Here is a 27564-nt window from a genome sequence, read left to right on the forward strand (position 1 = left end):
GTGGGCGGGCCGTCAGCTCCGCCCTGGGGAGGGGTCCGCGCTGCTGATTGGCTGTGGCCGGCAGGTGAACCCTCAGCCAATCAGCGGTACGGGGGGCGGTGCCTCCGGGGCTCACCTGGCTGCAGCCACGCACCCCCTCTCAGTGGCGTCGGAACTGCAAAGCACCTGTGAGCTTGCGGAAGTCAGTTCAGACTCCAGCCCGCTCCAGCCCGGCCCGACCCGACCGCACCCGGCGCCTGCCCTCGCTCGGCGTCCCCGGCCAGCCATGGGCCCTTGGAGCCGCAGCCTCTCGGCGCTGCTGCTGCTGCTGCAGGTACCCCGGATCCCCTGACTTGCGAGGGACGCATTCGGGCCGCAAGCTCCGCGCCCCAGCCCTGCGCCCCTTCCTCTCCCGTCGTCACCGCTTCCCTTCTTCCAAGAAAGTTCGGGTCCTGAGGAGCGGAGCGGCCTGGAAGCCTCGCGCGCTCCGGACCCCCCAGTGATGGGAGTGGGGGGTGGGTGGTGAGGGGCGAGCGCGGCTTTCCTGCCCCCTCCAGCGCAGACCGAGGCGGGGGCGTCTGGCCGCGGAGTCCGCGGGGTGGGCTCGCGCGGGCGGTGGGGGCGTGAAGCGGGGTGTAGGGGGTGGGGTGTGGAGAAGGGGTGCCCTGGTGCAAGTCGAGGGGGAGCCAGGAGTCGTGGGGACGATCTTCGAGGGAAGGAGAGGGGCATCCGTAGAAATAAAGGCACCTGCCATGCCAAGAAAGGTCGTAAATAGGAGTGAGGGTCCCGGGGATAAGAAAGTGAGGTCGGAGGAGGTGGGAGCGCCCCTCGCTCTGAGGAGTGGTGCATTCCCGGTCTAAGGAAAGTGGGGTACTGGAGAATAAAGACATCTCCAATAAAATGAGAAAGGAGACTGAAAGGGAACGGTGGGCTAGGTCTTGAGGGGGTGACTCGGCGGCCCCCTCCCGGGAGTTCCTGGGGGCTCGGCGGCCGTAGGTTTCGGGGTGGGGGAGGGTGACGTCGCTGCCCGCCCGTCCCGGGGCTGCGGGCTGGGGTCCTCCCCCAATCCCGACGCCGGGAGCGAGGGAGGGGCGGCGCTGTTGGTTTCGGTGAGCAGGAGGGAACCCTCCGAGTCACCCGGTTCCATCTACCTTTCCCCCACCCCAGGTCTCCTCTTGGCTCTGCCAGGAGCCGGAGCCCTGCCACCCTGGCTTTGACGCCGAGAGCTACACGTTCACGGTGCCCCGGCGCCACCTGGAGAGAGGCCGCGTCCTGGGCAGAGGTGAGGGCGCGCTGCCGGTGTCCCTGGGCGGAGTAGGGAGGGGTTGGAAAGGGGCCGAGAAATTGCACTCCCACACCCCTGGGTTGCAATGGGCAAGCTCCCTCCTTGGCTCAAACGACACCCCTTGGAATTTACGCAGATTTGGGGATCCAAACGTTTACGACTGAACACTGTGGTGGAGGGGGTAACCCTGCCTGGTTGTTGACTATGTTATAAAGAAGAGGAGGTTGAGGGCACTTACTAGAAGCCTTCGTATTTCTCTTATTGCCCTCAGCACTGTAGAGACAGTCTCTCATTTCAGACTGCAAAAACCTGGTGGGTGGGAAGGCCTGGCAGGAGTATTCCCGTTTTACAGTTGAGCAAACCGAGGCTAAGAGAGTGACGTCCACTTGCTCAGGGTCAGCAGAGCAGATATCTGAACTGGGATCTGACTCCCAGGCCCCATTAAGCACCATCTCTGGGATGACTGAAGAGCAGCCCTCTCTTGGTTACTGGGCTGTGGCTTTTGTTTACAGATATAAAAGCTTTTTTTTTTTTTTTTTTTTTTTTTTTTAAAGACAGGGTCTTGCTCTGTTGCCCAAGCTGGAGTGCAGTGGCACAATCATAGCTTACTGCAGCCTCCATCCTCTGGGCTCAAGTGATCCTTCCCATCTCAGCCTCCCTAGTAGCTGGTTATCATGGGCATGTGCCACCACACCTGGATAATTTTAACTTTTTTTTAGGCTGGGCGCAGTGGCTAACGCCTGTAATCCCAGCACTTTGGGAGGCCGAGGTGGGCGGATCACAAGGTCAGGAGTTCGAGACCAGCCTGGCCAACATGGTGAAACCCCATCTCTACTAAATAAAAATATAAAAATTAGCCGGGCATGGTGGCGTGTGCCTGTAATCCTAGCTACTCAGGAGGCTGAGGCAGGAGAATTGCTTAAACCCAGGAGGCAGAGGTTGCAGTGAGCTGAGATAGTGCCACCGCACTCCAACCTGGGTGACAGAGCAAGACTCCGTCTCAAAAAATAAATAAAAAATAAATTTTTTTTTAGAGACAGGAGTCTCTCCATGTTGCCCATGCTGGTGTTGAACTCTTGGGCTCAAAGGATCCTTCTGTCTCAGCCTCTCAAAGTGCTGGGATTGCAGGCCTGAGAGACTGTGCCTGGACCAAAACATCTTGATACAGGTACTGTTTCCCCCAAGGAATAATGATTTTTTTTTTTTTTTTTTTTTTTGAGATGGAGTTTTACTCTTGTTGCCCAGGCTGGAGTGTAATGGCGTGATCTCGGCTCACTGCCACCTCTGGCTCCCAGGTTCAAGTGATTCTCCTGCCTCAGCCTCCTGAGTAGCTGGGATTACAGGTGCCACCACCATGCCCAGCTAATTTTTTGTAGTTTTAGCAGAGAAGGGGTTTCACCATGTTGGCCAGGCTGGTCTGGATCTCCTGACCTCAGGTGACCCACCTGCCTCAATCTCCCAAAGTGCTGGGATTACAGGCATGAGCCAGCACGCCTGGCCAGGAATAATGATCTTTTTTTAAAAAAAGCATGGTAGTTCTGACTCAGGATGAAAATGCATACACCCAATGTACTTCTAGGCCTTATCGTTGTGACAATCTAGAGTTTGCTTTGTTCCACTTGACTGTTGTCCAGGGAGCAAGGGAAGGGGCTAGTTTCTCTTCTGGTTTCACTGAATCCCAAGTGCTTCCTTTATATCAAACCACTTTCTCCTCTCTCATGATTTTACTTGATTGGGTATCACAATAAGAGGCATTTTTTTTTTAAGAGAAATCACCCACAATTCCCCTGAGGGAACACCTCCACTGTGTCATTCTTCCAGTCTTTGACCACATGAATCTTTAGCAATCACGCTGTTGTCTTTACATTTTTTTTTTGAACTTTGGAAGTCATTCGAAGTTTTTTACAGAGAAACTACAGCTCGACTGATGAAGTATATTTGCTCTGTGTGCTCTAGAGCTTTCTATTGGATCAGAAGTTATCTCTAACTCCTGGGCTCAAGTGATTCACCCGCCTTGGCCTCCCAGAGTGCTGGGGATTGGATATTTTGATGTCAGTGGGCATTGAGGAGTGGCTTCTCGGGGAAGGCAAACTTGATCCAGTCTTGGAGAGCAAGGCAGGGGCTAGAAACAAGCTTGTATCTGAGCATGCGTCTGGGGTGTCCCAGTGCTAAGGCTGGTGACTTTGTTTTCCTGCACCAAGATATTTGGTAGCACCAAGGGTGGGTTGGTCTGGTTTTTATTTCTCCCTTCTAAGCTCCTGTGTTTGACCAATAATATTATTACATATTAACACTAATATGTTAATAATTAATAGTGACACGTATTCACTTTTGCCTCAGACTCTGGGGCAAGTGCTTCACATATTTTACCTCATTTAGTCTTCACTAGAACGTTAGGAGGGTGGGCACTGTTATTCTTCCTACTTTGCAAGTGAGGAAACTGAGGCATAAAGCAATTCTGTAATCTGAAGCATCCGCAGTTGGTCTTTTCTCTTCCTTTTTCTCCTTGTTTTTCACCTCAATAACCTGAAAAAACAAAAACAAAGAAAAAAGGTGTTTGGGGAATTAGTGTCCAATGTGAAGTAAGCTGAGAATGGAGGTGTTGACAGGGTGGGACCTCCGAGAGGGGGTGGTGATGATGGAGATGGGTCAGACCCGGGGGAGGTGGCGGGGGACCCTGGGACTGGTGATTTAGTGGGAAGAGGCAGCCTTCACACAGAATCCGCAGGCCTCTGGTGTGGTTGGTTTCAGTTCCCTTTATGTTCACAGACCCCCACCCCCACACAACAGATTTCCTGACATTTAATATTTGTTTTGGCTTTTTTGGACTGTGGGGTCTCCTTGTATCAGTCCAATGTGGAGTCGCCCCAGGATGGAAGTGCCCTTCTGGTAAAATCACACGTTCAATCTGAGGAACTGGCTTGTGATTTTAAAAGGCCGCTAGGACTTGGGATGTGGCCTGACTCTCTTTGGACAGTGCACGGAAGTGAAGGGATGGATGTAACATTGGCACCAGGTTTAGACATTGGCTTCATGGAGAATTTACTCCATGGGAATTTTGAAACTTGAAACCTGTCACTTTTTGTGCACAGGCAGCTGTAGGGTCTTAACTCAGGGGACTTTGGAGTGTTTGCTAGGGTCATTCCTCTGCCCCATGCTGTGGCTGACCCCATGATCTCAACCTTGTATTTATTCCATTGGTTTATCTCCAGCTTCTAGAATGAAGACCTTTACAAAAAAAAAAAAAACCAAACTCAACTGTAATAAACCAGTTTTTGTTTTGAGACGGAGTTTTGCTCTTGCCGCCCAGCCTGGAGTGCAGAGGTGCGATCTCGGCTCACTGCAACCTCTGCTTCCTCAGTTCAAGCAATTCTCCTGTCTCAGCCTCCTGAGCAGCTGGGATTGCAGGCACATGCCACCATGCCTTTGTATTTTTAGTAGAGACAGGATTTCATCATATTGGTCAGGCTGGTCTCAAACTCCTGACCTCAGGTGATCCGCCTGCCTTGGCCTCCCAAAGTGTTGGGATTACATGTGTGAGTCACCATGCCTGGCTAATAACCCAGTCCTTTAGAGTTGCTGCTTATTTTCCTTCTTCATAGCACACACCGGTCTGAGAAACCCAGGCTATTAGACAGTTTGGGATCTCTGAAGTATTAGCCTAGTAACCACAGCTGTAAGTTGACTCAGGCGCGGAAAAAAGAAAAGCTGGCAGGCTTTCCCAGTGATTGTTTTCTTCCTTTGCTTGCTCTGCAATCTGGCCTTGGAAACACAGGGCCTATATTTCAGTGTTGAGGTTTGGCTGCTTGAGGGGTTGACCTAGTTCACAGGCACCCAAACTTTGTGGATTAAATACACCCATTTCCCCTCCTTTTTTTTTTTTGAGACGGAGTCTCGCTCTGTTGCCCAGACTGGAGTGCAGTGACGTGATCTCGGCTCACTGCAACCTCTGCCTCCCAGGTTCCAGTGATTCTCCTGCCTCAGCCTCCCTAGTAGCTGGGACTACAGGTGTGTGCCTCCATGCCTGGCTAATTTTTGTATTTTTAGTAGAGACAGGGTTTCGACTACGGCCATACCACCCTGAACGCGCCCGATCTCGTCTGATCTCGGAAGCTAAGCAGGGTCGGGCCTGGTTAGTACTAGTACTTGGATGGGAGACAGGGTTTCACCATGTTGGTTAGGCTGGTCTACAATCTGGAGTTTTGCTCTTGTTGCCCAGGCTGGGCAAACTCCTGGCCTCAGGTGATCCGCCCACCTTGGCCTCCCAAAGTGCTGGGATTACAGGCGTGAGCCACTGTGCCCGGCCATTTCCCCTCCTTTCTGAAGGATGTGCTGAACGTTTCAGAAAACAGTATGCAGCCTCCCTAATACAATTAGACTTTTAAAAAGCAAACCCAGAAACCAGCTTTGGGATCACCTTACATCATCAGATCCCCACCCCCTACCCCTCAAACTCATAAAAGTCACTTCCCCAATTACTCATGTCTGTGACAAAGGTTGATCTGAGCTTACTGGGAAAGAAGACCAGTGGGCCGCCCTCCTGGCCTTGCCTTTGTGTCTCTGGAGGTGCGGAGGTGGAAAGTCTTGGGCCCGGCAAGGCCATGTAAAGAAGGCAGGCTGCTGCTTCCTCCCAGTGGGGCCCTGCCTGCCCCTCTCTGCCAGGTGGTTATGGAAATCCCTGTTTGCTCTCCAGGGCTTTTTATTGGGTGAGGCTTTTCTTCCAAAATGCTCACCTTGTGTCTGTTACACATTCCCTTCCAAGGTAGCCCCAGATACGCCAGAGGCTGAAGCTCTCGTATCTCCCAGAAGCTGCCCAAACCCTAAAATCCCCGAGAGGCACCTGTCCCAATCCAATCCTTGCTGGGTCTCTTTCTTTCTTTCTTTCTTTCTTTCTTTCTTTCTTTCTTTCTTTCTTTCTTTCTTTCTTTCTTTCTTTCTTTCTTTCTTTCTTTTCTTTTCTTTCTTTTGAGACGGAGTGTCACTCTGTCGCTCAGGCTGGAGTGTAGAGAGGTAGGATCTCAGCTCACTGCAACCCCCGCCTGCCATGTTCAAGTGATTCTCCAGCCTCAGCCTCCTGAGTAGCTGGGATTATAGGCACGCAGAAGCATGCCCAGCTAATTTTTGTATTTTTAGTAGATTCGGGGTTTCACCATGATGTCAGGCTGGTCTTGAACTCCTGAGCTCAAAGTGGTCTACCTGCCTCAGCCTCCCTAAGTGCTGGGATTACAGGCGTGAGCCACCGAGCCGGGCCCCTTCCTGGGTTTCTATCCTGCCTCAGCTCTATCTCCTTTGAGGGCACAAGGCTTTCAAAAAGGAGAATGAAATCATTCAGCAGTGGCTGTTTAGGATCCTTCAGCGAGGAAGTACAGGAAACTAGGTTTGAATTTTAGCCACTAGCTATTTGACTTTGAATAAGTCACTTTACTTCTATGAGTCTCAGTTTCCCCACCTGTAAAATGGGGCGGTAATACTTATTGATCTATTATGAGAATTAAGTATGTACATTCATTTAGTTCACAAAAGTGAGTGCCTGTTGTGTGTTAGCACCAGGCTAGACCCTGAGGTTACGGCAGATTGGACGGAACATACATGCCAATGGGCAGGAATGTAAAGAGAGAAAGTAGAGAGAATATTTTCAACAGTAGTTGATATTTCTTAGGGACACAGTAAACTCTCAATGTTATTTTGAGCAAATGAATGAACACATGAATAAATCGCTATCTTGGCCAATATTTTTCCCTCTCAAACTCTATGGACTTGGTCCAGCCCTTAAGGTTGATTGTAAATGGGCGGGGAAGAATTTGGTGGGTTAGAACCTTCCATTATGCTCTGTGTGTGCTGGGGATACTGTGTTCATAGCTTCCCTCTGAACAGCTGTGCAGGGCAGGCAGGGAGATCTCAAACCTGAGTCTGGAAATGGGAGGGCATATAGCCATTTTTAAGTGTTTTCCACCTTTGGTCAAATAAAAAGAAATCTGTGGTGCATGCTCACTCTTTCTCTCTCTATCCCCATCTCTAGCCATCTCCCTTTCTTTCTCTCTTCCTCTTTGTTAATGTAAGTTTCCCTAGGCCAGGGATCTCAGTGTCCCAGCTTGTTCTTGTTACTCTTGGGGGACTGGGGTTTAGGCCTCCTCCCTTTCTGCACTTTTCATCTTCCTCCTTCCTTCCTCTTACCTGCCTCCAATCCTCCACTTCTGCCCAAGATTTGGGTGGCATCTTCCCCAAATTCAGAAGGTTCTTGAATCAGACTGCCTAGATTTCAATCCAGACAATGTCACTTCCCAGCCTAGGGATGTCAGCCAAGGACTTAGTTTCCCTCTCTGTAAAATGAGCATAATAGCATGGAGACATCATAGGATGGTATGTCAAGCGTTCAGTGAATATGAAATATTAGAGCCCCAGGAGGACTTGGTGCTGTCTGTTTGAAAGTCTCCCATGTTTTACGTTTGGTTCAAAAGATCCCCTGCGCTCCCTCTCACCCAGCAAACCAGCCAAACCAGTTTCTTCACCCTGCCTGCTTCTGTGTTAAGCAAACAGTGCACTGCAAACAGTGACTAAGCCTAGTGCCTTGTTAGGAAGAAACTGGCGTTTTTTTGCTTGCCACTGTGCAGGGTGCTCAGGGTGGACCGGAACGGGTTTGTTGTGGCTTAGGAAAGGGGACCTGCTCGTGGAGGTTGTGTAGAACTGGAGTGGGAGGAGTGGGGCAAGGCGCAGCTAGGGCCGGGGGAGTCGGGATGATCTTGAACTTGTCAGCTTCTGCTTGGCTTTTAAAAGTTATCCAGGCCAGATAGATGCTGTGGCTCACACCTGTAATCCCAGTGCTTTGGGAGGCCAAGGCCGCAGGATTACTTGAGCCCAGGAGTTTGAGACCAGCCTGGGCAACGTGGCGAGACCCCCATCTCTACAAAGATTAAAAAAAAAATTTAGCCAGGTATGGTGGCGTGCACCTGTGGTACTAGCATCAAAAAAATGCAAAAATTTGCTGGGCGTGGTGGCATGTGCATGTAGTCCCAACTACTCAGGAGGCTGAGGTGGGGGGATTGCGTGAAGCCCGGGAGGTCGAGGCTGCAGTAAGCCATGATTGCACCACGGCACTCCAGCTGATAGAGATCCTGTCTCAAAAAAAAAAAAAAAAATATATATATATATGTATATATATATGTATGTGTAATATATGTGTATATATATGTATGTGTATATATATATATATATGTATATATATTTCATGATGCACATGCCTAAGAATACCTGTCTGTTCTCCTGCTGCCAAAAACGCTCTGTCCCAGCCCCTGAGATCCTTGTGGCTAAAAATCAAATCACCTAGGGCACTTCATGCAGACTTGCCCTCTTGCAGATTCACTGAGAGCCAATCTCCAAGGGTGGAGATCTGAACTTGACATTTACTTACTTATTTATTTTTTGGGATGAAGTCTTGCTCTGTCACCCAGGCTGGAGTGCAATGACACGATCTCAGTTCACTGCAACCTCCGCCTCCTGGCTTCAAGCAATTCTCATGCCTCAGCCTCCCAAGTAGCTGGGATTACAGGCATGCACCACTACGCCTGGCAATTTTTTTTGTATTTTTGTAGAGACGGTTTCACCATGTTGGCCAGTCTGGTCTCAAGCTCCTGACCTCAGGTGATCTGCCTGCCTCAACCTCCCAAAGTGCTGGGATCGCACGCGTGAGCCACCACACCCAGCCTTGAATTTGATGTTTTTAAAAGCTCCTCAGGCCAGGTGCGGTGGCTTACGCCTGTAATCTGCACTTTGGGAGGCCAAGGCGGGCAGATCATGAGGTCAGGAGTTTGAGACTAGCTTGACCAACGTGGTGAAACCCCATCTCTACTAAAAATTCAAAAATTCAGCTGGGCGTGGTGGCATGCTCCTGTAATCCCTGCTACTTGGGAGGCTGAGGCAGAAGAACTGCTTGAACACGGGAGGTGGAGGATGCAGTGAGCCGAGATTGTGCCACTGCACCCTAGCCTGGGCAACAGAGCGAGACTCCATCTCTAAATAAATAAAATAAATAAGCAAGCTCCTCAGATATCTGCTGCCACTCAATGCATTTCCCTGGACAATCCCAGGGGCTAGATGTTTGATGAGTAAATACCCCAGCCAGGATGTGGGCACCTGGTTGTCCAGCCCAAGGCCAGGGATCCCAGGTCACACCCTTGATCAGGGAGGGATAGGCTGGTGCTTCTGCCATGCCCAGGATTGAGAACTCTATGGATGCAAGGAGGGGTGGATGGGAGGCTGGGTGCAGTGGCTCATGCCTGTAATCCCAGCACTTTGGGAGGCCAAGGTGGGAGGATCACTTGAGGTCAGGAGTTTAAAACCATCCTGGCCAATATGGTGAAACCCCGTTTCTGCTAAATATAAAAAAAGCTAGCCGGGCGTGGTGGTGCATGCCTGTAATCCCAGCTACTTGGGAGGCCGAGGCAGGAGAATCACTTGAATCTGGGTGGCGGAGGTTGCAATGAGCGGAGATTGTGCCATTGCACTCTAGCCTGGGCAACAGAGCGATACTCCATCTCAACAAACAAACAAACAAACACACCAAAGTGGGGTGGATGGGTGTGGGAGTGGGGGACCCAGAGAAGTATCCAGTGCACCCAGGCCTAAGACTCACCCCCTACACTCAGGGAGATTCCAGAAAATCTCCAAGAGAGACCTCTCAGCAGGTAATTCCAGTAGGCTCCAAGAATGCCACTGGAATGAGAATGTGTTCAGGGGATGCCAGGAGTGGTCAGCTTCACCTGCTGGGCCTTGATGAGTAAGAGGGTGTCTTCCATGCAAGGAAAGGGAAAGGGCACTCCAGGAGGAGGAAGTGGGGTACCCAAAGGTGTGGCAGGGTCATGGAGGCAGAAGGCTGGAGCTGTGCCTTCCTGGGCACAGAAAGAGGAGGGAGGAGAGGGTCCCAGGATGAGGCTGCAGAGGCAGCTGGGCCAGGGTACCTCTGGGCCTTGGGCCGTGGGTCATGGAGGGTTTTCTCTTTCTGGGCTTTTCATAGGCAAATTATTCACCCGGTTAAAAAATAAGTTTAAATATACATCTTCATATATATATGAAAAAGCTTGTATATATGTCTGTATGGCAGACAGTGAAGTCTCCTTCCCACCCCAAACCACGCTTCACCCAGTTCTTCCCTGGGGCACAGGGAACAGATTTCATTAGTCTCTTGTGTATCCTTTTCAGTGTTTCCTTATGGAAATACAAGCATAGTCTTCTTTCTTTATGCCAGCGTAAATTCCTAACATATGATCCTTTTACACAAAGCATAGCATATGATAGCACTGCTCTGTACCTTGTTTTTCTCCCAGCAACGTATCTGTATGTTCTCTCTCTCTCTCTCCACACATATCTTCCTTAGACCGAATCTTGCTCTATTGTCCAGGCTGGAGTGCAGAGGCGCAATCTCAGCTTGCTGCAGTCTCCGCCTCCCTGGTTCAAGTGATTCTCATACCTCAGTCTCCCGAGTAGCTGAGACTACAGACACATGCCAACACACCCGGCTAATTTTTGTATTTTTAGTAGAGACAGGGTTTCACCATGTTGGCCAGGCTGGTCTCAAACTCCTGGGCTCAAGCAATCCACCTGCCTCGGCTTCCCAAAGTGCTGGGATTACAGGCGTGAGCCACCGTGCCTGGCCCATTTTTATTTTTTTTAATTTTTAAAAAAATTTTTAAAAATTATTTACTTTTTTTTTTTTTTTTTTGAGACAGAGTTTCGCTCTCATTGCCCAGGCTGGAGTGCAATGGCATGATCTCGGCTCACCGCAACCTCCGCCTCCCGGGTTCAAGTGATTATCCTGCTTCAGCCTCCAGAGTAGCTAGGATTACAGGCATGCTACACCACACCTGGCTAACTTTGTTTCTTTGGTAGAGACAGGGTTTCTCCATGTTCATCAGGTTGATCTCCCAACCTCAGGTGATCTGCCCGCCTTGACCTCCCAAAGTGCTGGGATTAGAGGCGTGAGCCACCATGTCCGGCCATTTTAAAAATGTTTAATTTTAATTTCTGTGGGTACAAAGTTGGTGTGTATATTTATGGGGTACGTTCTTTTATTTTCTTTTTATAGCTATGCGGTATGGATGCACCATAGGTTATTTAGCCAGTCCCTGATAGATAGACACTGGGTAGTGTCCTATCTTTTAGGAGACAGTATTTCAGACAGTAACCTGGGATATACATTTTTTTTCTACACATTCTGGTGTATCTGGAAGATGAATTTCCATAGGTGAGCCTGCTGGGTCCAGGTATGTGCATTTGTAATTTTGGCAGATATTGCCTTCCACAAAGACTGTGATCCATTTGCACATCAGCGTTTAGAGACAGTCGGTTCCCACTGTCCCAGTGGAGGTTTTGAGAAAGAGGTTGGGAGAGGTGTTATGTGCCTGCCTGTCTGAAGATAAAACAGTTTTTTTTGTTTTTGTTTTTGTTTTGAGACGGAGTCTCGCTCTTGTCGCCCAGGCTGGAGTGCAATGGTGCAATTTTGGCTCACTGCAACCTCTGCCTCCTGGGTTCAAGCGATTCTCCTGCCTCACCCTCCTGAGTAGCTGAGTACAGGTGCCTGCAACCATGACTGGCTAATTTTTGTGCTTTTAATAGAGACGGGATTTCATCAGTTGGCCAGGCTGGTCTTGAACTCCTGACCTCAGGTGATCCACCTGCCTTGGCCTCCCAAAGTGCTGGGATTACAGGCATGAGCCACCGTGCCCTACCAATAGACAGTTTTGATTTGGGGGAAGGTTTCCAGCAACTAAGTGGTTCTAAACAAGAAGTAATGCCAGCAGCTTCCAGAATGTTCCTTTGGACCAACACTGGAAACAGAGGAGAAAGAGGAACAATTCAGGGGAGGAAAATTAGTTTTTGGTGAGGAATATGTTGAGTTTGAGTGTCTGAAGGACACAGAGGTGGAGTTTTCAAAGGGGTATTTGGGAATGTCAGCTCTGTGCTTGGAATAATGTGAAGTACCAGTTTAAAGAAGGATTTGTATAGGATAGTGATCTTTTTTCCTTAATCTTGTGTCAATAGATACAGAGAGTTTTCAGAGACCTCACACGCTGGAGGATTAAATCATAGAAGGTGTTTGTTTGGAGAGTGTTTACTTGAAGGTGGCCAGCAGATGAAAGACAACTATTTGTGTCCATTTGCACAGGGTTAGAGAGTGGGTCCTGCCAGTGACCTTGCACGCTTGACAGTTAATCCTCCCTGTAGTCCAAGGTGGGAATTTTCATCATCCCCTACTGTGGAAGAGGAATCAGGCTCAGAGGTTGCACTGCTTGCCACCAAGTCACCCCGCCAGGTGATGGCAGTGCTGGGGCTGCAGGCCAGGCCTTTCTCCTTCCAAAACCAGGTCTCTCATCCTGTTCCCTCTACTACACTGTTGCCAAACTCAGCATCTCCAGTGGGACCTGATTCACCTTTCTAAAGGAAACGCCAAACTCAGCATCTCCAGTGGGACTTGATTCATCTTTCTAAAGGAAACGAATTCCCTTCTTCCCTTCGGAGAAGCTGTCATTGTACCTTTTTCATCTCACTTATTTTATTTATTTTATGATTTTTTTTTTAAGAAACAGAGTCTTGCTCTGCTGCCCAGGCTGGAGTGCAGTGGTTTGAACTCCTGGGCTCAAGCAATCCTCCCATCTTGGCCTCTCGAAGTGCTGGGATTACAGGTGTGAGCCACCAGGCCTGGCCTGCCTCTCACTAATTTTGATTGTGATGCTAGAATTCAGCTTTTTTTTTTGCCTTTGGAAGGCCTCTTTTGTCTTTTGCTTATGGGCAGTTTCAGCCGGTTTCCCTCTTGACCTTCACTTCCAAATAAATGCTAGCTGAACAGCGCTTCTCTTCCTTTCGGTCTCTTTCAACTCTCTGGGTCCCAGAAAATCCACTTATATTGGCCTTCAAGACTTGGGAGTGTAGGGACAGGGAAACCGCCTTAAAGAAACTCTTGTTCCAAATGAGACCTACTCAAGCCGCTTGGCCAGGCAGGCATCTGGGGCATGGCTCTTGCTGCTGAAAGAGGGAAAGTTACTACTGGGACCTAATGGGGCCTGCCTAGAAGGGTTGAACCTGTTCCACATGAGCAAGATCATAAACGGTGGCCAGCTCAGGACCCCGTGGGATAATTGGCCAAGTTCTAGATAATAATTAGCTGGCTTTGTAATTAGGAGAGCTTGTAACAAGCCAAAAGCCTTTCAAATTTATTTGACCTGGGCAAGTTCAAGAAGAAGAAGAGCACCTGATTCTGTGGTTTGGCATTCAGGTACGCCTGTACACCTTCTTTCTCCTTGGTTTTTTTTTTTTTTTTTTAAGACAGGGTCTCTGTCGCTCAGGCTGGAGTACAGTGAAGCCATCTTGGCTCACTTCAGCCTCGACCTCCCGGGCTCAAGCAATCCTCCCACCTCAGCCTCCCAAGTAGCTGGGATACAGACACACATCACCATGCCCGGCTAATTTTTAAAATTTTCTTTGGAAAAGGGATCTCGCTATATTGCCCAGACTGGTCTGGAACTCCTGGGCTCAAGGGATCTTCCCACCTTGGCCTCCCAAAGTGCTGGATTTACAGGCATGACGCCCAGCTGTTTCTCTATTCCCAAAAGAGAAGTTTCAGCATGTCTTCACCTTCATTGTCGCAGCAGCTTCCTTCCTGGTCTCCCCACTTATTCCTTCCCCTTCCTCCAAGCCAGTCTTTTCTCCATCCATCAGTCAGAGTTGATGGTTTTTAAAATTAAGTTAGAAAATATCACGCCTGCTCCAAATTACCCATGGTTCCCCATTTCAAACAAAATAAGCGCCTAAGTCCTTTCTATGACTTCTGAGGCTTCACTGATCTGTCCTTTGACTCATGTACCTGGGGTCCTCATCTCTTCCCACTCTTCTGCATGCTCACTTTGCCCAACAACTTTGTTTCCTGGTTATACTTAGAACACACTACACACTCTTCTACCTCAGGGCCTTTGCACTGGCTGTGACCATTCCCATAATATCTGCACAGCTCACTCTTTTCTGTCCTGAAAAGACTGCAAGCCTTTGCTTAAATGTCACTCCCGCCCTCAGGGAGGACTTTCTTGAACCCCTTATTTATTTATTTATTTATTTATTTAGAGACGGAGTCTCACTCTGTCATCCAGTCTGCAGTGCAGTGGCGCAATCTCGGCTCACTGCAACCTCTGCCTCCTGGGTTCAAGCAGTTCTCCTGCCTCAGCCTCCTGAGTAGCTGGGGTTAGAGGCATGGGCCACCACGCCTGGCTAATTTTTGTATTTTTAGTAGAGACAGGGTTTTACCATGTTGGCCAGACTGGTCTCAAACTCCTAACCTCAGGTGATCCACCTGCCTCGGCCTCCCAAAGTGCTGGGATTATAGGGATGAGCCACCGTGCCTGGCCCAATTTATTTATTTTTTGAGACAGAGTCTTGCTCTGTCACCCAGGCTGGAGTGCAGTGGTTTGACCTCTGCTCACTGCAACCTCAGACTCCAGAGTAGCTGGGATTATAGGTGCCTGCCCTCACACCTGGCTAATTTTTGTATTTTTGTATTTTTTTTTTTTTTTTGAGATGGAGTCTCAACTCTGTCACCCAGGCTGGAGTGCAGTGGCTTGATCTCGGCTCACTGCAACCTCCGCCTCCCGGGTTCAAGCAATTCTCCTGTCTCAGCCTCCCAAGTAGCTGGGATTACAGGCATGTGCCACCACGCCTGGCTAATTTTTGTATCTTTAGTAGAGACTGGGTTTCACCATGTTGGCCAGGTTGGTCTTGAACTCCTGACCTCAGGTGATCCACCCGCCTTGGCCTCCCAAAGTGCTGCGATTACAGGCGTGAGCCACCACACCCAATCTGGACCCCCTATTTATGATAGTAAACCCTGCCCTCAGCCCTCCCCACCTCTTTTACTTAATTTTCTTCTAGTACTTTTCACTGTCTAACATGCTATGTATTTCACTTATTTCTCCTGTTCACTGCGGGTCTCCTCCCACTAGAACAGAAGCCTCAGGAGGCCAGGGATTTTTAATGTCTTTTGTTTTGTACTTGGGCTGAATTGCAGTTAGAATAGTGCTTGGTACATAATAAGGGCTCAGTAAGTATCCGAAGGAATGAATGAATGAGAGGTTTCAGAGTGTATTTAATACAGACAGGACTAAACAGATCTCTCTAGAGGATATTTCACTGTAGTTGTTTTTTTCTTTTTTTAAAGACAGGGCTTTATGTATTAGCCACAGAGAAGGGAGGAGGGGTGTTCTCAGGGCGTGTGCCTCTGGTTGGCACTCCCCAGTTTCTCTGAGCTCTGCACACCCCTGATGTAACCTTACCTAATTGTCTTGTCACAAAACAGCTTGCAGTCTGGAGTCTAAAGGTCAGATGAGCCATTTCTACCCCACACTTCTGAGTGTAAGGAAGCACCAGATCAAAATCTAGGCAGATATCTGAGCCCGCCAGAGCCATCTGTTTGGTTTCCTATTGTGTGGGTAACACCTTCCTTGAGCAAGGCTCTCAGATACACCCAACACCTGCCCCCTGGGTATCTCAGCATCCTTCAGACCCATGAATTGTTCAAGAACCGATGTCTGTTCTTCCAGTTTTTGGCAGTGCAGAGGAGCCTGGAAAGAGCTTGATGAGAGACGCAAAAAGCTCAAAGACAAAAATGCAAGGCCGGCCAGGCGTGGTGGCTCACGCCTGTAATCCCAGCACTTCGGGAGGCCGAGGCACAAAAATCTCTTGAACCTGGGAGGTGGAGGTTGCAGTAAGCTGAGATCGCGCCACTGCACTCCAGCCTGGGCGACAAAGCGAGACTCAGTCTCAAAAAAAAAAAAAAAAAAAAGCAAGGCCTGCTTAATCAGATCTCGGCCAAGATAAAAATCTCATGGCTTCAAAATCCATCTGATCAATAAATATTCATGAGAGAGTACTGTAGGGCAACATCTTGTAAATCTTTTTTTTTTCTTATTTTCTTGAGAGGGAGTCTCCCTCTGTCACCCAGGCTGGAGGGCAGTGGTGCAATCTTGGCTCACTGCAACCTCTGCCTCCCAGGTTCAAGCGATTCTCCTGCCTCAGCCTCCTGAGTAGCTAATTTTTAGCCACCATGCCCGGCTAATTTTTGTATTTTTAATAGACACGGGGTTTCACCGTGTTACCCAGGATGGTCTCAATATCCTGACCTCGTGATCTGCCCTCCTCGGCCTCCCAAAGTGCTGGGATTACAGGCGTGAGCCACCGCGCCCGGCACATCTTACAAATCTTTATGTAACCTAGACTGTCCTGCCTTCAGCAGGGTAATGGCTTAATGGGTAGTGTGGCTAGATTTAGCAAATAACAATACAGGACTATCAGTTACATTTGACTTTCAGATAAACGATGGCTAATATTTAGCATAAGTATGTCCCATGCAATATTTGAGACATACTTAAAAAAAAATTATTTGGCAGGGGCAGGGCACGGTGGCCGACTGTAATCCCAGTACTTTGGGAGGCTGAGGCAGGCGGATCATGAGGTCAGCAGATCGAGACCATCCTGGCTAACATGGTGAAACCCCATCTCTACTAAAAATACAAAAAAAAATTGGCCAGGCGTAGTGGCAGGCGCCTATAGTCCCAGCTACTTGGGAGGCTGAGGCAGGAGAATGGCTTGAACCTGGGAGGTGGAGCTTGCAGTGAGCCAAGTGAGCCATTGTACTCCAGCCTGGGTGACAGAGCGAGATTCTGTCTCAAAAAAAAAAAAAAAAAATTATTCGGCAGGGCACAGTGGCTCATGCCTGTAATCCCAGCACTTTGGAATGTTGAGGTGGGAGGATCCCTTGAGACCAGCCTGGGCAACATAGGGAGACCCTGTCTCTACAAAAGATTTTTAAAAATTAGCCAGGCCTGGTGGCATGAGCTGGCAGACCCAGCTACCTGGGAGGCTAAGGTGGGAGGATCACCTGAGACCACAGAGGTCAAGGCTGCAGTGAGCTGTGACTGCCTCCCTGCACTCCAGCCTGGGCGACAGAGTGAGACACTGTCTCAAGAAAAAAGAAAAGTATTTGTTGTTGTACTCTGTATTGTGATCATAAGCAACAGTGTATTGAGCGGTGCTTTCTGTATGTTGAACTCTTCCCGTATGCCATCTCCTGTAACCCTCATGCACACAGGTGTGTCATGCACACAGGAAGTGGGAGAGCCTGGCCGTATGTCTGGTGGCTGTTGGACTCCAAAGTCTGTGCTCTTTATAGCAGGAAAAGGCAACTCACAGAACAGTCTGTGAGCAGCCAGGTGAAAGGGATGGATCATTCCTTCTCTGAAGGTCTCAGGTGACAGAGGTATTTGTCTGTCCATTCACTTAATGAATTTGTGCTGAGCACCTGCCAAGCCCTCTGCTAGGCATTGGGGATGCAGCGGGGCCCAAACAGAGAAAAAGCCCTGTCCTCATGGAATTTCTCTTCTAATTGGAGGGGACAGGTAGATGGTGATGTATGGAAGAAAGAATAAAACTCAGCAGGAAGGGTGATAAAAACTATGCATTGGGGTGGAGAAATTTAGGGGCAGTCATCACTAAGAAGGATGGCATTTGTGTAAAGAAGAAGAAGTGAGGTGCTCAATAGATGTTAGAACTGGACTGTGTCAGCTGGGTGTGGTGGTTTATGACTGTAATCCCAAGCCAAGGCAGGTAGATCTCTTGAGCCCAGGAGTTCAAGACCAGCCTGGGCATGATAGAACCCCGCCTCTACAAAAAATCCAAAAATTAGCCAGGTGTAGTGGCATATGCTTGTAGTCCCAGCTACTTGGGAGCTGGGGTGAGAGGATCACTTGAGCCTGGGAGGTTGAAGCTGCCTGGGAGGTTTAGCCATGATCGTACCACTGCATTCCAGCCTGGGTGACAGGGCAAGACTCTGTCTCAAAAAAAAAAAAAAAAAAAAAATAGAATTGGACTGTATCTTGAGGGGACTGGACTTCTACATTCAAGTCTATATTCATGTCATTGAAAAAGACTGTTCTCTAGTCAGGCATTTTTCTTTTAATTTTTAAATTTTTTGTTAAAATAAATAGAGAGGGTCTTGTTACGTTGCCCAGGCTAGTCTCGAACTCCTGAGCTTAAGCAATACCCCCGCCTTGGCCTCCCAAAGTGCTAGGATTACAGGTCTGAGCCACCATGCCCGGCCAGGCCAGGCATTTTCTAGAGAAGGAATCCTGAGGGCTCATTTTCACATCTCCTTCATTTTTTATTTATTTATCTTTCTCTTTTGACCTGCCACTTTAGGAACATCTCCTTTAAAGGGTATCAGATTCAAACCAGGAAATAATGCTCATTCCAAGCCACTCCCCACCCCTCAGCATGTTGCCCAAGAGGAATATTGCTCCAGCAGAGTTTTCTAAATTTTTTTTTTTTTTTTTTTTGAGACAGAGTCTTGCTCTTGTTGCCCAGGCTAGAGTGCAGTGGCCTGATCTCGGCTCATTGCAACCTCTGCCTCCCGGGTTCAAGCGATTCTCCCACCTCAGCCTCCGGTGTAGCTGGGATTACAGGCATGTGCCACCACACCTGGCTACTTTTTGTATTTTTCGTAGAGACGGGGTTTCACCATGTTGGCCAGGCTGGTCTCCAACTCCTGACCTTAGGTGATAAGCCCTCCTCGGCCTCCCAAAGTGCTGGGATTACAGGCATGAATGAGCCACTGTGCCTAGCCGAGTTTTCTAAAGATTCTTCCTGCAGAGGGATGATATTTTCTAAACAGGCATCATTTAGGGCATATTTTTTTTTTTTTTTTGTGCATGTATACGAGTGTTCCTAGGACCTGGTACTTACTTTGGAATCTCACCTTCAGTACGAGGCTTCCTCCCCAACAAATTCTTCACCACAACTATGTGGGAGTGTTTGAAAAAGGGAACAAGATGACCAACTTGTTGGTGGGGAGAGTTGTGGCTTTCCTATTGGAAAACATCATCCCTTGAATAAGCAGTGAGGCAAACACCTGGGCACTTACTTTATGAACAGGTGGGGTGGGGCCCTGAGTCACCGACATTGAGAGGCCTCTCCTGGTAAGGTTTTTCAATATCAGGTTGAATCAGCGGTGACATCACCCTCTATAGTGACAGGTACTCTAGGTGCCGGCTCTTACTCATAAGTCCCAGGAGATACTAGCCCTAGATCTCGTCTCTGTTAGCTTCGTGCTAAAAGGTTTTGGAGAAATAACAGCTGCTTGGTGACGTTCATGTGGCTGGTTTCATTACCACCTAACTCCCAGGCTTGTAATCATGACTAAATTTTCTGGAGAAAATAGAATTTGTGGTTGTATTTCTTGTAACTTTTGCCTTCTTGTCTCAAGTCTGCATTTAAAAAGAGGCCGGGTGCGGTAGCTCATGCCTGTAATCCAGCACTTCGGGAGGCCAAAGTGGGAGGATTGCTTGAGCCCAGAAGTTGGAGACCAGATTGGGCAACAAAGGGAAACCCTGTCTCTACATACAAAAACAATTACCCAGGCATGGTGGCGTGTGCCTGTGATCCCAGCTTCATGGGAGGCTGAGGCAGGTAGATCCCTTGAGTCCAGGAGGTTAAGGCTGCAGTGAGCTGCGTTTTGCACCACTGCACTCCAGCTTGGGTGACAGAGCGAGACGCTCTCTCAAAAACAAAAAACAAAACAAAACAAAGCCCTCTTCTACTCCTTGAGGTTTTTGGATGTTTCAGAGCTGTATTTTGAGTCTCTGATTTTTGTTTTGTTTTGTTTTGAGACAGAGTCTTGCTCTGTCACCCAGGCTGGAGCGCAGTGTTGGAGTCTCAGCTCACTGCAACCTCCACCTCCCAGGTTCAAGCTATTCTCCTTCCTCAGCCTCCCGAGTAGCTGGGATTATAGGCCAGCGCCACCATGCCCGGCTAATTTTTGTATTTTTAGTAGAGACAGGGTTTCACCATGTTGGCCAGGCTGGTCCTGACCTCAAGTGATCCGCCCACCTTGGCCTCCCAAAGTGCTGGGATTACAGGTGTGAGCCATGGCAACCAGCTGAGTTTTTGATTTTGAAACTTCCTGTAAGTTGTACTTATTTTTCTTTGGGCTTTGTAATTTGGTTATGATTTTTCATTCTTCTTTCTGCTAATCCTCTCACTTCCACCATGGGAGTGTTTAAATACCTGGGAAGCTGTTGAACCTAGGAAACCACATTTTACTTGCCAGATGTGAGGTTTCATTTCTGGTTTTGACAGAGATTTGACTCTTCAGCATTTATTTCTCTTTTAGCCTATGAGCTTCTCTTAGAGAAGATGAACTGGGAGGGTGGAATGCAGCAGGATTGCCTGGATTCCAATCCCAACTGGACCCTTACTTTTCCTGTGATTTTGGGCAAGTTTCTTTCTCTTTCTTTCTTTCTCTCTCTCTTTTTCTTTCTCTCTCTCTCCTTCCTTCCTTCCTTCCTTCCTTTCTTTCTTTCTTTTTTTTGAGACAGGGCCTTTTTCTGTCACCCAGGCTGGAGTGGAGTGGTACAATTTTGGCTCACTGCAACCTCTGCCTCCTGGGCTCAAGTCATCCCCATCCTCCCACCTCAGCCTCCCAAGTAGCTGGGACTACAGGTGCATGCCACCACTCCAGGCTAATCTTTTTTTTTTTTTTTTTTGTATTTTTTGTAGAGACGAGGTTTTGCCATGTTGCCCAGGCTGGTTTTGAACTCCTGAGCTCAAGCCATCTGCCCGCCTCAGCCTCCCAAAGTGCTGGGATTACGGATGTGAGTTGCTGCACTGGCCTGCAAGTTTCTTTCTTTTTTTTCAAATTTTTTTGTGTCCCTCCCCTCTATCCCAACCCCACCCCATTTTGCCTAGGGTAGGCTTCTTTTTATTTCTTTTTTTTTTTTTTTTTTTTTTTTTTTGAGAGAGAGAGAGAGAGAGAGACCCAAATGGGAATTCCCTAGGGCCAGTTTCTTAATCTTTCTGTGCCTCAGTCCCCTCACCTGTACAAAGGGGATAAACATAGCCCCTACCACAAAGGATTGCAATGAGGATTCAATGAGTTAGCATGTGCGAAGTGCTTCCAGTGCCTGGTACGTAGCAACCACTCTTCATTTAGTTTTTATTGGCTGGGCTCCGTGGTACACATCTGTAGTCCTAGCTACTTGGGAGGTTGAGGCAGGAGGATCACTTGAGCCTGGGAGTTTCGAGGCTGCAGTGCATGCTGATTGTGCCCGTGAATAGTTACTGCTCTCCAACCTGGTCAATGTCTCAAGAATCGATCTCTAAAAAAACAAATTAGTTTTTCTCATTAGATGTTTCTGCTTTAGACTTGTGTCAAGGGAGTGAAAAAGCATGGGGCGGGGGGCGGGTAGTGTAAGTGTCAAAGGAGCCACAGAGGATTGAGTATGAGGAAGAGTGATACCCCCTTATCACTTTGCTCTTGACCTCCTAAAGAATAAGACGCTCCTTTGACCCAACATCCATTTGAGTGCAATTTTTTTTTTTTTTGAGATGGAGTCTTGCTCTGTTGCCCAGACTGGTGCCATCTCGGCTCACTGCAACTTCCGCCTCCCGGGTTCAAGCAATTCTCCTGCCTCAGCCTTCTGAGTAGCTGGGATTATAGGCGCCTGCCACCATGCCTGGCTAATTTTTTCTATTTTTAGAGAGATGGGGTTTCACCATGTTGGTCAGGCTGGTCTCAAACTCCTGACCTCAGATGATCTGCCCCTCTAGCCCTCTCAAAGTGTTGGGATTACAGGTGTGAGCCACCGTGCCCAGCTAATTACATTTAATTAATTTATTTTGAAAAATACAAGGTCTCACTGTGTTGCCCAGGTTGGTCTCAAACTCCTCGGCTCGGGCAATCCTCCTGCCTCAGCCTCCGACAAGTGGTGGGATTACAGGGGGCACAGTGGCTCATGCCTGTTATCCCAACACTTTGGGAGGCCAAGGCAGGAGAATCGCTTGAGCCCAAGAGTTCAAGACCAGCCTGGGCAACATAGCAAGACCCCCATCTCTACCAATAATAATAGTATTGTTATACAATGACCACAATAGTCGTTGCATTCATTTATTGATTGAGTACTCAACTGTTCATGTATGATCTTGTTTTTTTAATCCTTGCATCAACTTTAGAGTTAGGTACTATGGCAATTCCATTTTCTTTTCTTTCTTTTTTTTTTTTTTTTGGTTGAGATGGAATTTTGCTCTGTTGCCTGGGCTGGAGTGCAATGGTGCGATCTTGGCTCACTGCAACCTCCGCCTCCCGAGTTCAAGCGATTCTCCTGCCTCAGCCTCCCAAGTAGCTGGGATTACAGGCGCGTACCACCATGCCCAGATAATTTTTGTATTTTTTAATGGAGACAAGGTTTCACCATTTTGGCCAGGCTGGTGTCAAACTCCTCACCTCAGGTGATCTGCCTTGGCCTCCCAAAGTGCTAGGATTATAGATTATAGGCGTGAGCCACCACGCCGGGCCTGACAATTCCATTTCCAAATCATAAACAGAAGCTTCTACAGCTAGGGGAGCTGGGAAGGAAAAGTGTGTACCGCCCTGGCTGGCTTTTATCCTTCCTGTGCTCAGCGGCTCTATTTCTAAGAATGTTTCCATTCTAGATCCATCACTTTGGCCTAGAAAGGAGCCTCATGCCAAGGTCCACCCATGCAGCCCCTAAAATCCCCTTTTCCACCGTGCCCGGCTGAGTTTTTAAAATTCTAGTTTTCCACAGATGGAAATGTGAACTGTCTTGTAAAGTATTCCATATATATATATTTTTTTTTTTTTTTTAATTTTTTTTTTTTGAGATGAAATCTTGCTCTTGTCCCCCAGGCTAGAGTGCAATGGTGCGCTCTCAGCTCACTGCAAGCTCTGCCTCCCGGGTTCATGCCATTCTCCTGCCTCAGCCTCCTGAGTAGCTGGGACTATAGGTGCCCAACACCACGCCCAGCTAATTTTTTTTTTTTTTTTTTTTGCATTTTTAGTAGAGACGGGGTTTCACCGTGTTAGCCAGGATGGTCTCAATCTCCTGACCCCATGATCCTCCCCCACTCAGCCTCCCAAAGCACTGGGATTACAGGCATGAGCCACCACGCCCAGCCCTTCTAAAGTATTTTAAATTCTAGTTTTCCAAAGATGGGAATGTGAATTGTCTTGTAAAGTATAACCGTCTCCTGCCCCTCCTTTATAACAGGCCTTGGAGAATTTTGCCCCTCCTTTATAACAGGCCTTGGAGAATGTTTCTCCCCCATTCTTTCTCTTTAATCTGGGCAAGGTGTCTTTATTAATAATATCACAGACCACCACACACACCTTGAGGTTTAGTTCTCTTCCGCACAGTGTGTGAGTGCCTTCTGTGTGCTCTGTGTCAGTTACCAGCCTTGTTTCCAGGAGTTTGGAGCTGACCCAGGGGTGATAGAAAACACTGGGATGCCAAGTCGTCAGACAATGGGCTCATTTAGAATTCAGGTGGGGTGGGACTGTGTGGGCTGGGTCAGCTGGTGGAGCTTCCCCAGAGTGGGGAGGCCAGGGGGAGTCTGGGATGTGGGGTGGTATGTGAACAGGAATACGGGGAGACTCTCAGCCTCTGTTGTTGGCTGAGAGGGGGATGCCCCAAGCCTAGAGAGGTGGGGGCGGGACCTCCTGTGCAGAGACTGGGAGACAGGAATATGACAGATGGTATATTTGGATGGTGACTCAGATAGGTCAAGTGAAACTGAACTTCCGGTCCTCGAGTCACACAGGAGGGTAGGGGCTGTGAGAAAACTCCCTCGTTGGTTCTTCCTACAGGGCCTTTGAGGCAGACAGGGCTCAACAGAGCCTGGCAGGACTGCAGAAGGACAATAGTGTGGCTGGTTGGGTGAGGCCCTTTTGGCCTGAAGGCTAGCAAGCTGGGAGAACTTGGAGAACCCGGACAGCAGGTCCTCTGCCCTCCCGCTGCCTGGGGCAGCCCTTGGAGAGGCCTGAGTGGTCTAGGCTGATACATCAGGCTTGGGGCAGCCCCGCTGGGCTATCCCATACCCTCTCCCCTGCCCCCACATGTTTATCCCAAATCCCCTTCTCCTCAAGCTTGCTTCTAGGTGCCCATCTCACCCATCCTACCCATCCATGTGTCTATCCTCCATTCGTTTGTTCAGTAATGATGGAGGGGCTGTTATGCGCCAAGCACTGTTGTGAATGGCGGACACAGAGACCCAGACACATATGAATGTCCCCCATCATGGAATTTGTATTCTCAGGTATTGCAGGGAGCAGGCAATAAACATAATCAATGTGCAAAATATTTAGAGCACTGAGTGGAGACAGGTGTGTAGGAAAGATGAATCGGAATGGAGCATTGCTGGGAAGTACTAGGGTGATCTGAGAAGGCCTCACTGAAGGGGGACATTTGAGCAAAGACCCAAGAGAGGTGAAGGATCAGGCCATGTGACTAGGTAGGGAAGGGTGTTCTAGACGGAGGGGAGGGCGTTCTAGATGGAGGGAACAGCAAAGACACACCCCTGACACTGAGCAGAAGGGCAAGGTCAGTGATCAAGGGGCAGGGGCTGGCAGAAGGGCAGAGGGGGTGGCAGCATGTGGAGGGCCTTGTACCCATCACCAGGACTTTGTCTTTCACTTGGGACTCCTCTGGTCCTTTAGCCCAGATCCACCGGCTGCCTCCTCCTGCCAGTTCTGCCTCCCCTCTCCATTCTGGGCAGTGGAGCCTGATGGTTAGTAGCATGGGCACTGGCCTGCCTGCTCAGGTTCTGAGCTGAGCACAGAGGTCTGGGCCTCCCCTGGGCTTCTGCTCCATTTGGCCCAGGGTGGGGCCATGGACTCCCATTTCCAATGGCGCTGCTGGCTCTGGCATATTCTGACCCCTCCACTGGGGACACCTCCCAGTGTTCCTTGCCTGGCTCATTTCTCTCTCAGGGCCATCTTCGTTGTTGCTACCTCTAGGAAGCCTTCTCTGATCCTCATCCCCAAGGCCTGTGTCGGGATACGTCCTACTCCTTCCCTTTGCCAGTTGGGATCCCCTGGGTTCCTTTATGCTCCCCCACCAGGCTGGGTACTTGGGAAGTATTCGCAGCCCCCAGCATTAAGCCTGGCATGTAGTTGCCACTCAGTGAGTAGTTTGATGAGGGGCTCTTTGCTGTGGGAGGATTAGGCTGCAGGGTTACCCCATAACCCCCAGTGGAGGTGACTTATGTCCATCTTTTGGGGACTTTTGCAGTGAGGGAGTGCATTATAATGGAGAGGAGGAAGCCAGATTCCTAAAACTTTCAATCACATTTTGCTCCTCTCAGAAACAAAAACAAAACAAAACAAAAACACAGGCCGGGCATGGTGGATCACGCCTGTATTCTCAGCACTTTGGGAGGCCAAGGCCAGAGGATCACCTGAAGTCAGGAGTTTGAGACCAGCCTGGCCGACATGGCGAAACCCAGTCTGTACTAAAAACATAAAAATTATCCGGGCGTGTTGGTGGGCGCCTATAATCCCAGCTACTTGGGAGGCTGAGGCAGGAGAATCGCTTGAACCCCTGGGAGGCAGAGGTTGGAGTGAGCCAAGAGTGAGCACCACTGCACTCCAGCCTCGGCAACAGAGCAAGATTCCGTCTCAAAAAAAAAAAAAAAAAAAAAAAAAAAAAAAGCCCCAAACCAGCTGAGCTTAGATGGATCTCTCTGGCCATCTTTTTAAACAGTAAGGGACCTTTAAAAAGTTTGATTCCTCTCTTCCCCACAGCAAGGCTATTTGCTTCCTGAAGATAAATCAATTGTAAAAAGTAGCTTAATTTAAAGCGTTCAATTCCCCTGCTTTTTACATTGAGGAGAAATTATGGTGACAGCTATTCCTGTTTTGCGTGCTTAGTACCAGCCAGGCACTGAGCCCAAAACTCCAACTCACTCTTGGCTGTTGAGCCAACCCTGTGCCAGAAGAAAATCCCCACTCCCTACAATGTGTGGAATTCACATTATAGTTGGAGACAGAAGGGGAGAAACAAACACAGCCTGCCAATCCTGGAGAATGCCTGGTGGGGGTGCTGGGGGAAGAAGTCCAATTTCAGCTGGGAAAATGGGACAGGAGCCTTGGGAGTGGGTTTACACCTCAAATTCCCTTATGGCCACAGTCCATTGGCCCCTAGCCTCCTCCCCACTTTACAGATGAAGAGACTGAGGTTTAGAGAGAGGAACAGCCGGCTTGGCAGAGGCAACTGCTGAGGCAGTTGAGGAAAGGTGAGGACCTCCCAGAGTGAGAGGGGCAAGGGAACTGGAAGTCAACTGTGGGACCTGGAAGTAGGGGAGGGAAGAATAAATCTGCGGAGGGGTCTCCTTCCCTCGGCCCTCCTCCCCCACTTCTGGGAAAGTGGTTACCGTTGTCAGCTCCAGGATTTGAAATGCTGATTAGTTCATTAGCAGTTGTTTATAGGCCTTTGCCTGTCTGACATTTTAACCCTGTGAAGTCCAAGGAAACAGTTCTCTGTCTTTAATGTGCTTCAAAACCTCCTGCAAAACTAACTACAAGTGCAGACTGCACCCCTAGAGATTCTGATGTTTAAGTCTGGGGTGAGTCCAGGAATCTGCATTTTAAAATAAGCCCATCCTGTGCTGGAACTGGTGGTCCCTGGATCCCACTGCAAGGACAACCTGGGCGAGAGCAGGTTTCCAAACCTGGGCCAGAGCTGGTTGGGGGGATGGCGGACACATGGAGAGCTTAAAAGTGGAGACTTTGAGGGGCTTTCCCTCCCAGAGGTTTTGAGTCAAGAGATTTGAGATTTGATGGGTTTTTTTGTTTGTTTACTTGTTAAAAAAGATGATTATTGGTTGGGTTTGGTGGGGGATGGGCTATGAAGCTACCCGAAGTTGTAGACAAAGGGGTGTGTGTGTGATCAGTTCACAGATGTGGATCATGTCTACATCTTTCATCAGATTTCTCTGAGGAGTCATCCCAGATGACATTTAGGGCTAACTCTGAGTGGAATTACCAGTCTAAAATGGGAGCTGGCCAGGCATGGTGGCTCACGCCTGTAATCCCAGCACTTTGGGAGGCCAAGGCGGGTGGATCACCTGCGGTCAGGAGTTTGAGACCAGCCTGGCCAACATGGCGAATCCCCATCTCTACTAAAAATACAAAAATTAGCCAGGTATGGTGCTGTGCACCTGTAGTCCAAGCTACTTGGGAGGCTGAGACAGGAGAATCGCTTGAACTGGGAGGCAGAGGCTGCAGCGAACTGAGATCACGCCACTGCACTCCAGCCTGGGCGATAGAGTGAGACTCCATCTCAAAATAAAATAAAATAACATAGAGCCAATCTCAGGGTCTATCAAGACAGGTGAAGGGAAATGAAGTTAAGGCCTGCAAACTCCCTGTGTGTTCTTGGAGAAGGAAAGCAAGCAAAATATGCAAGGTGTGTAACAAGCAC

At 48.9% G+C, this 27564-nt stretch overlaps 1 protein-coding gene and 1 pseudogene across 4 annotated transcripts in view, besides 18 other annotated features; both read left to right on the forward strand.

Moving 5' to 3' along the window:
• The window catches only part of CDH1 (cadherin 1), a 98246-nt gene continuing 70823 nt past the window's right edge, over nucleotides 142-27564 (forward strand). For all 4 annotated transcript variants that reach the window (NM_001317185.2, NM_004360.5, NM_001317186.2 and 1 more), the window contains exons 1-2: nucleotides 142-313; nucleotides 1147-1261. Coding sequence is in view for 2 of the 4 variants with exons in the window: in NM_004360.5 (NP_004351.1) it covers nucleotides 266-313; nucleotides 1147-1261 (163 nt within the window). In the remaining 2 variants the exon portion in view is untranslated. The remainder of the gene's footprint in view (nucleotides 314-1146; nucleotides 1262-27564) is intronic.
• Nucleotides 188-257: a silencer, noted in NCBI's record as "silent region_7650". NCBI's record gives its function as "represses an Ori minimal core promoter by ATAC-STARR-seq in GM12878 lymphoblastoid cells {active_cell/tissue: GM12878}" and the evidence as "EXISTENCE:reporter gene assay evidence [ECO:0000049][PMID:35858748]".
• Nucleotides 5121-5265: an enhancer, noted in NCBI's record as "145 bp 16:68776246 sequence used in MPRA reporter constructs". NCBI's record gives its function as "activates a minimal TATA-containing promoter with rs1981870 allelic activity by MPRAs in C283T melanocytes {active_cell/tissue: C283T}" and the evidence as "EXISTENCE:reporter gene assay evidence [ECO:0000049][PMID:36423637]".
• Nucleotide 5193: a transcriptional cis regulatory region, noted in NCBI's record as "rs1981870 or 16:68776246 MPRA-significant variant associated with a GWAS melanoma risk locus at 16q22.1". NCBI's record gives its function as "allelic transcriptional activity by MPRAs in C283T melanocytes {active_cell/tissue: C283T}" and the evidence as "EXISTENCE:reporter gene assay evidence [ECO:0000049][PMID:36423637]".
• RNA5SP429 (RNA, 5S ribosomal pseudogene 429) lies at nucleotides 5329-5423 on the forward strand (annotated as a pseudogene).
• Nucleotides 7866-8451: an enhancer, noted in NCBI's record as "NANOG-H3K27ac-H3K4me1 hESC enhancer chr16:68778919-68779504 (GRCh37/hg19 assembly coordinates)". NCBI's record gives its function as "activates a minimal SCP1, AML or CMV promoter by ChIP-STARR-seq in primed H9 embryonic stem cells {active_cell/tissue: H9 hESC(primed)}" and the evidence as "EXISTENCE:reporter gene assay evidence [ECO:0000049][PMID:30033119]".
• Nucleotides 8944-9088: an enhancer, noted in NCBI's record as "145 bp 16:68780069 sequence used in MPRA reporter constructs". NCBI's record gives its function as "activates a minimal TATA-containing promoter with rs12921546 allelic activity by MPRAs in UACC903 melanoma cells {active_cell/tissue: UACC903}" and the evidence as "EXISTENCE:reporter gene assay evidence [ECO:0000049][PMID:36423637]".
• Nucleotide 9016: a transcriptional cis regulatory region, noted in NCBI's record as "rs12921546 or 16:68780069 MPRA-significant variant associated with a GWAS melanoma risk locus at 16q22.1". NCBI's record gives its function as "allelic transcriptional activity by MPRAs in UACC903 melanoma cells {active_cell/tissue: UACC903}" and the evidence as "EXISTENCE:reporter gene assay evidence [ECO:0000049][PMID:36423637]".
• Nucleotides 16386-17343: an enhancer, noted in NCBI's record as "H3K4me1 hESC enhancer chr16:68787439-68788396 (GRCh37/hg19 assembly coordinates)". NCBI's record gives its function as "activates a minimal SCP1, AML or CMV promoter by ChIP-STARR-seq in primed H9 embryonic stem cells {active_cell/tissue: H9 hESC(primed)}" and the evidence as "EXISTENCE:reporter gene assay evidence [ECO:0000049][PMID:30033119]".
• Nucleotides 19377-19521: an enhancer, noted in NCBI's record as "145 bp 16:68790502 sequence used in MPRA reporter constructs". NCBI's record gives its function as "activates a minimal TATA-containing promoter with rs13333528 allelic activity by MPRAs in C283T melanocytes {active_cell/tissue: C283T}" and the evidence as "EXISTENCE:reporter gene assay evidence [ECO:0000049][PMID:36423637]".
• Nucleotide 19449: a transcriptional cis regulatory region, noted in NCBI's record as "rs13333528 or 16:68790502 MPRA-significant variant associated with a GWAS melanoma risk locus at 16q22.1". NCBI's record gives its function as "allelic transcriptional activity by MPRAs in C283T melanocytes {active_cell/tissue: C283T}" and the evidence as "EXISTENCE:reporter gene assay evidence [ECO:0000049][PMID:36423637]".
• Nucleotides 19515-19614: an enhancer, noted in NCBI's record as "active region_11025". NCBI's record gives its function as "activates an Ori minimal core promoter by ATAC-STARR-seq in GM12878 lymphoblastoid cells {active_cell/tissue: GM12878}" and the evidence as "EXISTENCE:reporter gene assay evidence [ECO:0000049][PMID:35858748]".
• Nucleotides 20106-20250: an enhancer, noted in NCBI's record as "145 bp 16:68791231 sequence used in MPRA reporter constructs". NCBI's record gives its function as "activates a minimal TATA-containing promoter with rs9646283 allelic activity by MPRAs in C283T melanocytes {active_cell/tissue: C283T}" and the evidence as "EXISTENCE:reporter gene assay evidence [ECO:0000049][PMID:36423637]".
• Nucleotide 20178: a transcriptional cis regulatory region, noted in NCBI's record as "rs9646283 or 16:68791231 MPRA-significant variant associated with a GWAS melanoma risk locus at 16q22.1". NCBI's record gives its function as "allelic transcriptional activity by MPRAs in C283T melanocytes {active_cell/tissue: C283T}" and the evidence as "EXISTENCE:reporter gene assay evidence [ECO:0000049][PMID:36423637]".
• Nucleotides 20295-20344: an enhancer, noted in NCBI's record as "active region_11026". NCBI's record gives its function as "activates an Ori minimal core promoter by ATAC-STARR-seq in GM12878 lymphoblastoid cells {active_cell/tissue: GM12878}" and the evidence as "EXISTENCE:reporter gene assay evidence [ECO:0000049][PMID:35858748]".
• Nucleotides 21587-21731: an enhancer, noted in NCBI's record as "145 bp 16:68792712 sequence used in MPRA reporter constructs". NCBI's record gives its function as "activates a minimal TATA-containing promoter with 16:68792712 allelic activity by MPRAs in C283T melanocytes and UACC903 melanoma cells {active_cell/tissue: C283T | UACC903}" and the evidence as "EXISTENCE:reporter gene assay evidence [ECO:0000049][PMID:36423637]".
• Nucleotide 21659: a transcriptional cis regulatory region, noted in NCBI's record as "16:68792712 MPRA-significant variant associated with a GWAS melanoma risk locus at 16q22.1". NCBI's record gives its function as "allelic transcriptional activity by MPRAs in C283T melanocytes and UACC903 melanoma cells {active_cell/tissue: C283T | UACC903}" and the evidence as "EXISTENCE:reporter gene assay evidence [ECO:0000049][PMID:36423637]".
• Nucleotides 23607-23766: an enhancer, noted in NCBI's record as "active region_11027". NCBI's record gives its function as "activates an Ori minimal core promoter by ATAC-STARR-seq in GM12878 lymphoblastoid cells {active_cell/tissue: GM12878}" and the evidence as "EXISTENCE:reporter gene assay evidence [ECO:0000049][PMID:35858748]".
• Nucleotides 23797-23846: an enhancer, noted in NCBI's record as "active region_11028". NCBI's record gives its function as "activates an Ori minimal core promoter by ATAC-STARR-seq in GM12878 lymphoblastoid cells {active_cell/tissue: GM12878}" and the evidence as "EXISTENCE:reporter gene assay evidence [ECO:0000049][PMID:35858748]".
• Nucleotides 23857-23906: an enhancer, noted in NCBI's record as "active region_11029". NCBI's record gives its function as "activates an Ori minimal core promoter by ATAC-STARR-seq in GM12878 lymphoblastoid cells {active_cell/tissue: GM12878}" and the evidence as "EXISTENCE:reporter gene assay evidence [ECO:0000049][PMID:35858748]".

This window comes from Homo sapiens, chromosome 16 (assembly GCF_000001405.40).
Source record: "Homo sapiens chromosome 16, GRCh38.p14 Primary Assembly".
Classification (NCBI taxonomy): Eukaryota; Metazoa; Chordata; class Mammalia; order Primates; family Hominidae; genus Homo; species Homo sapiens.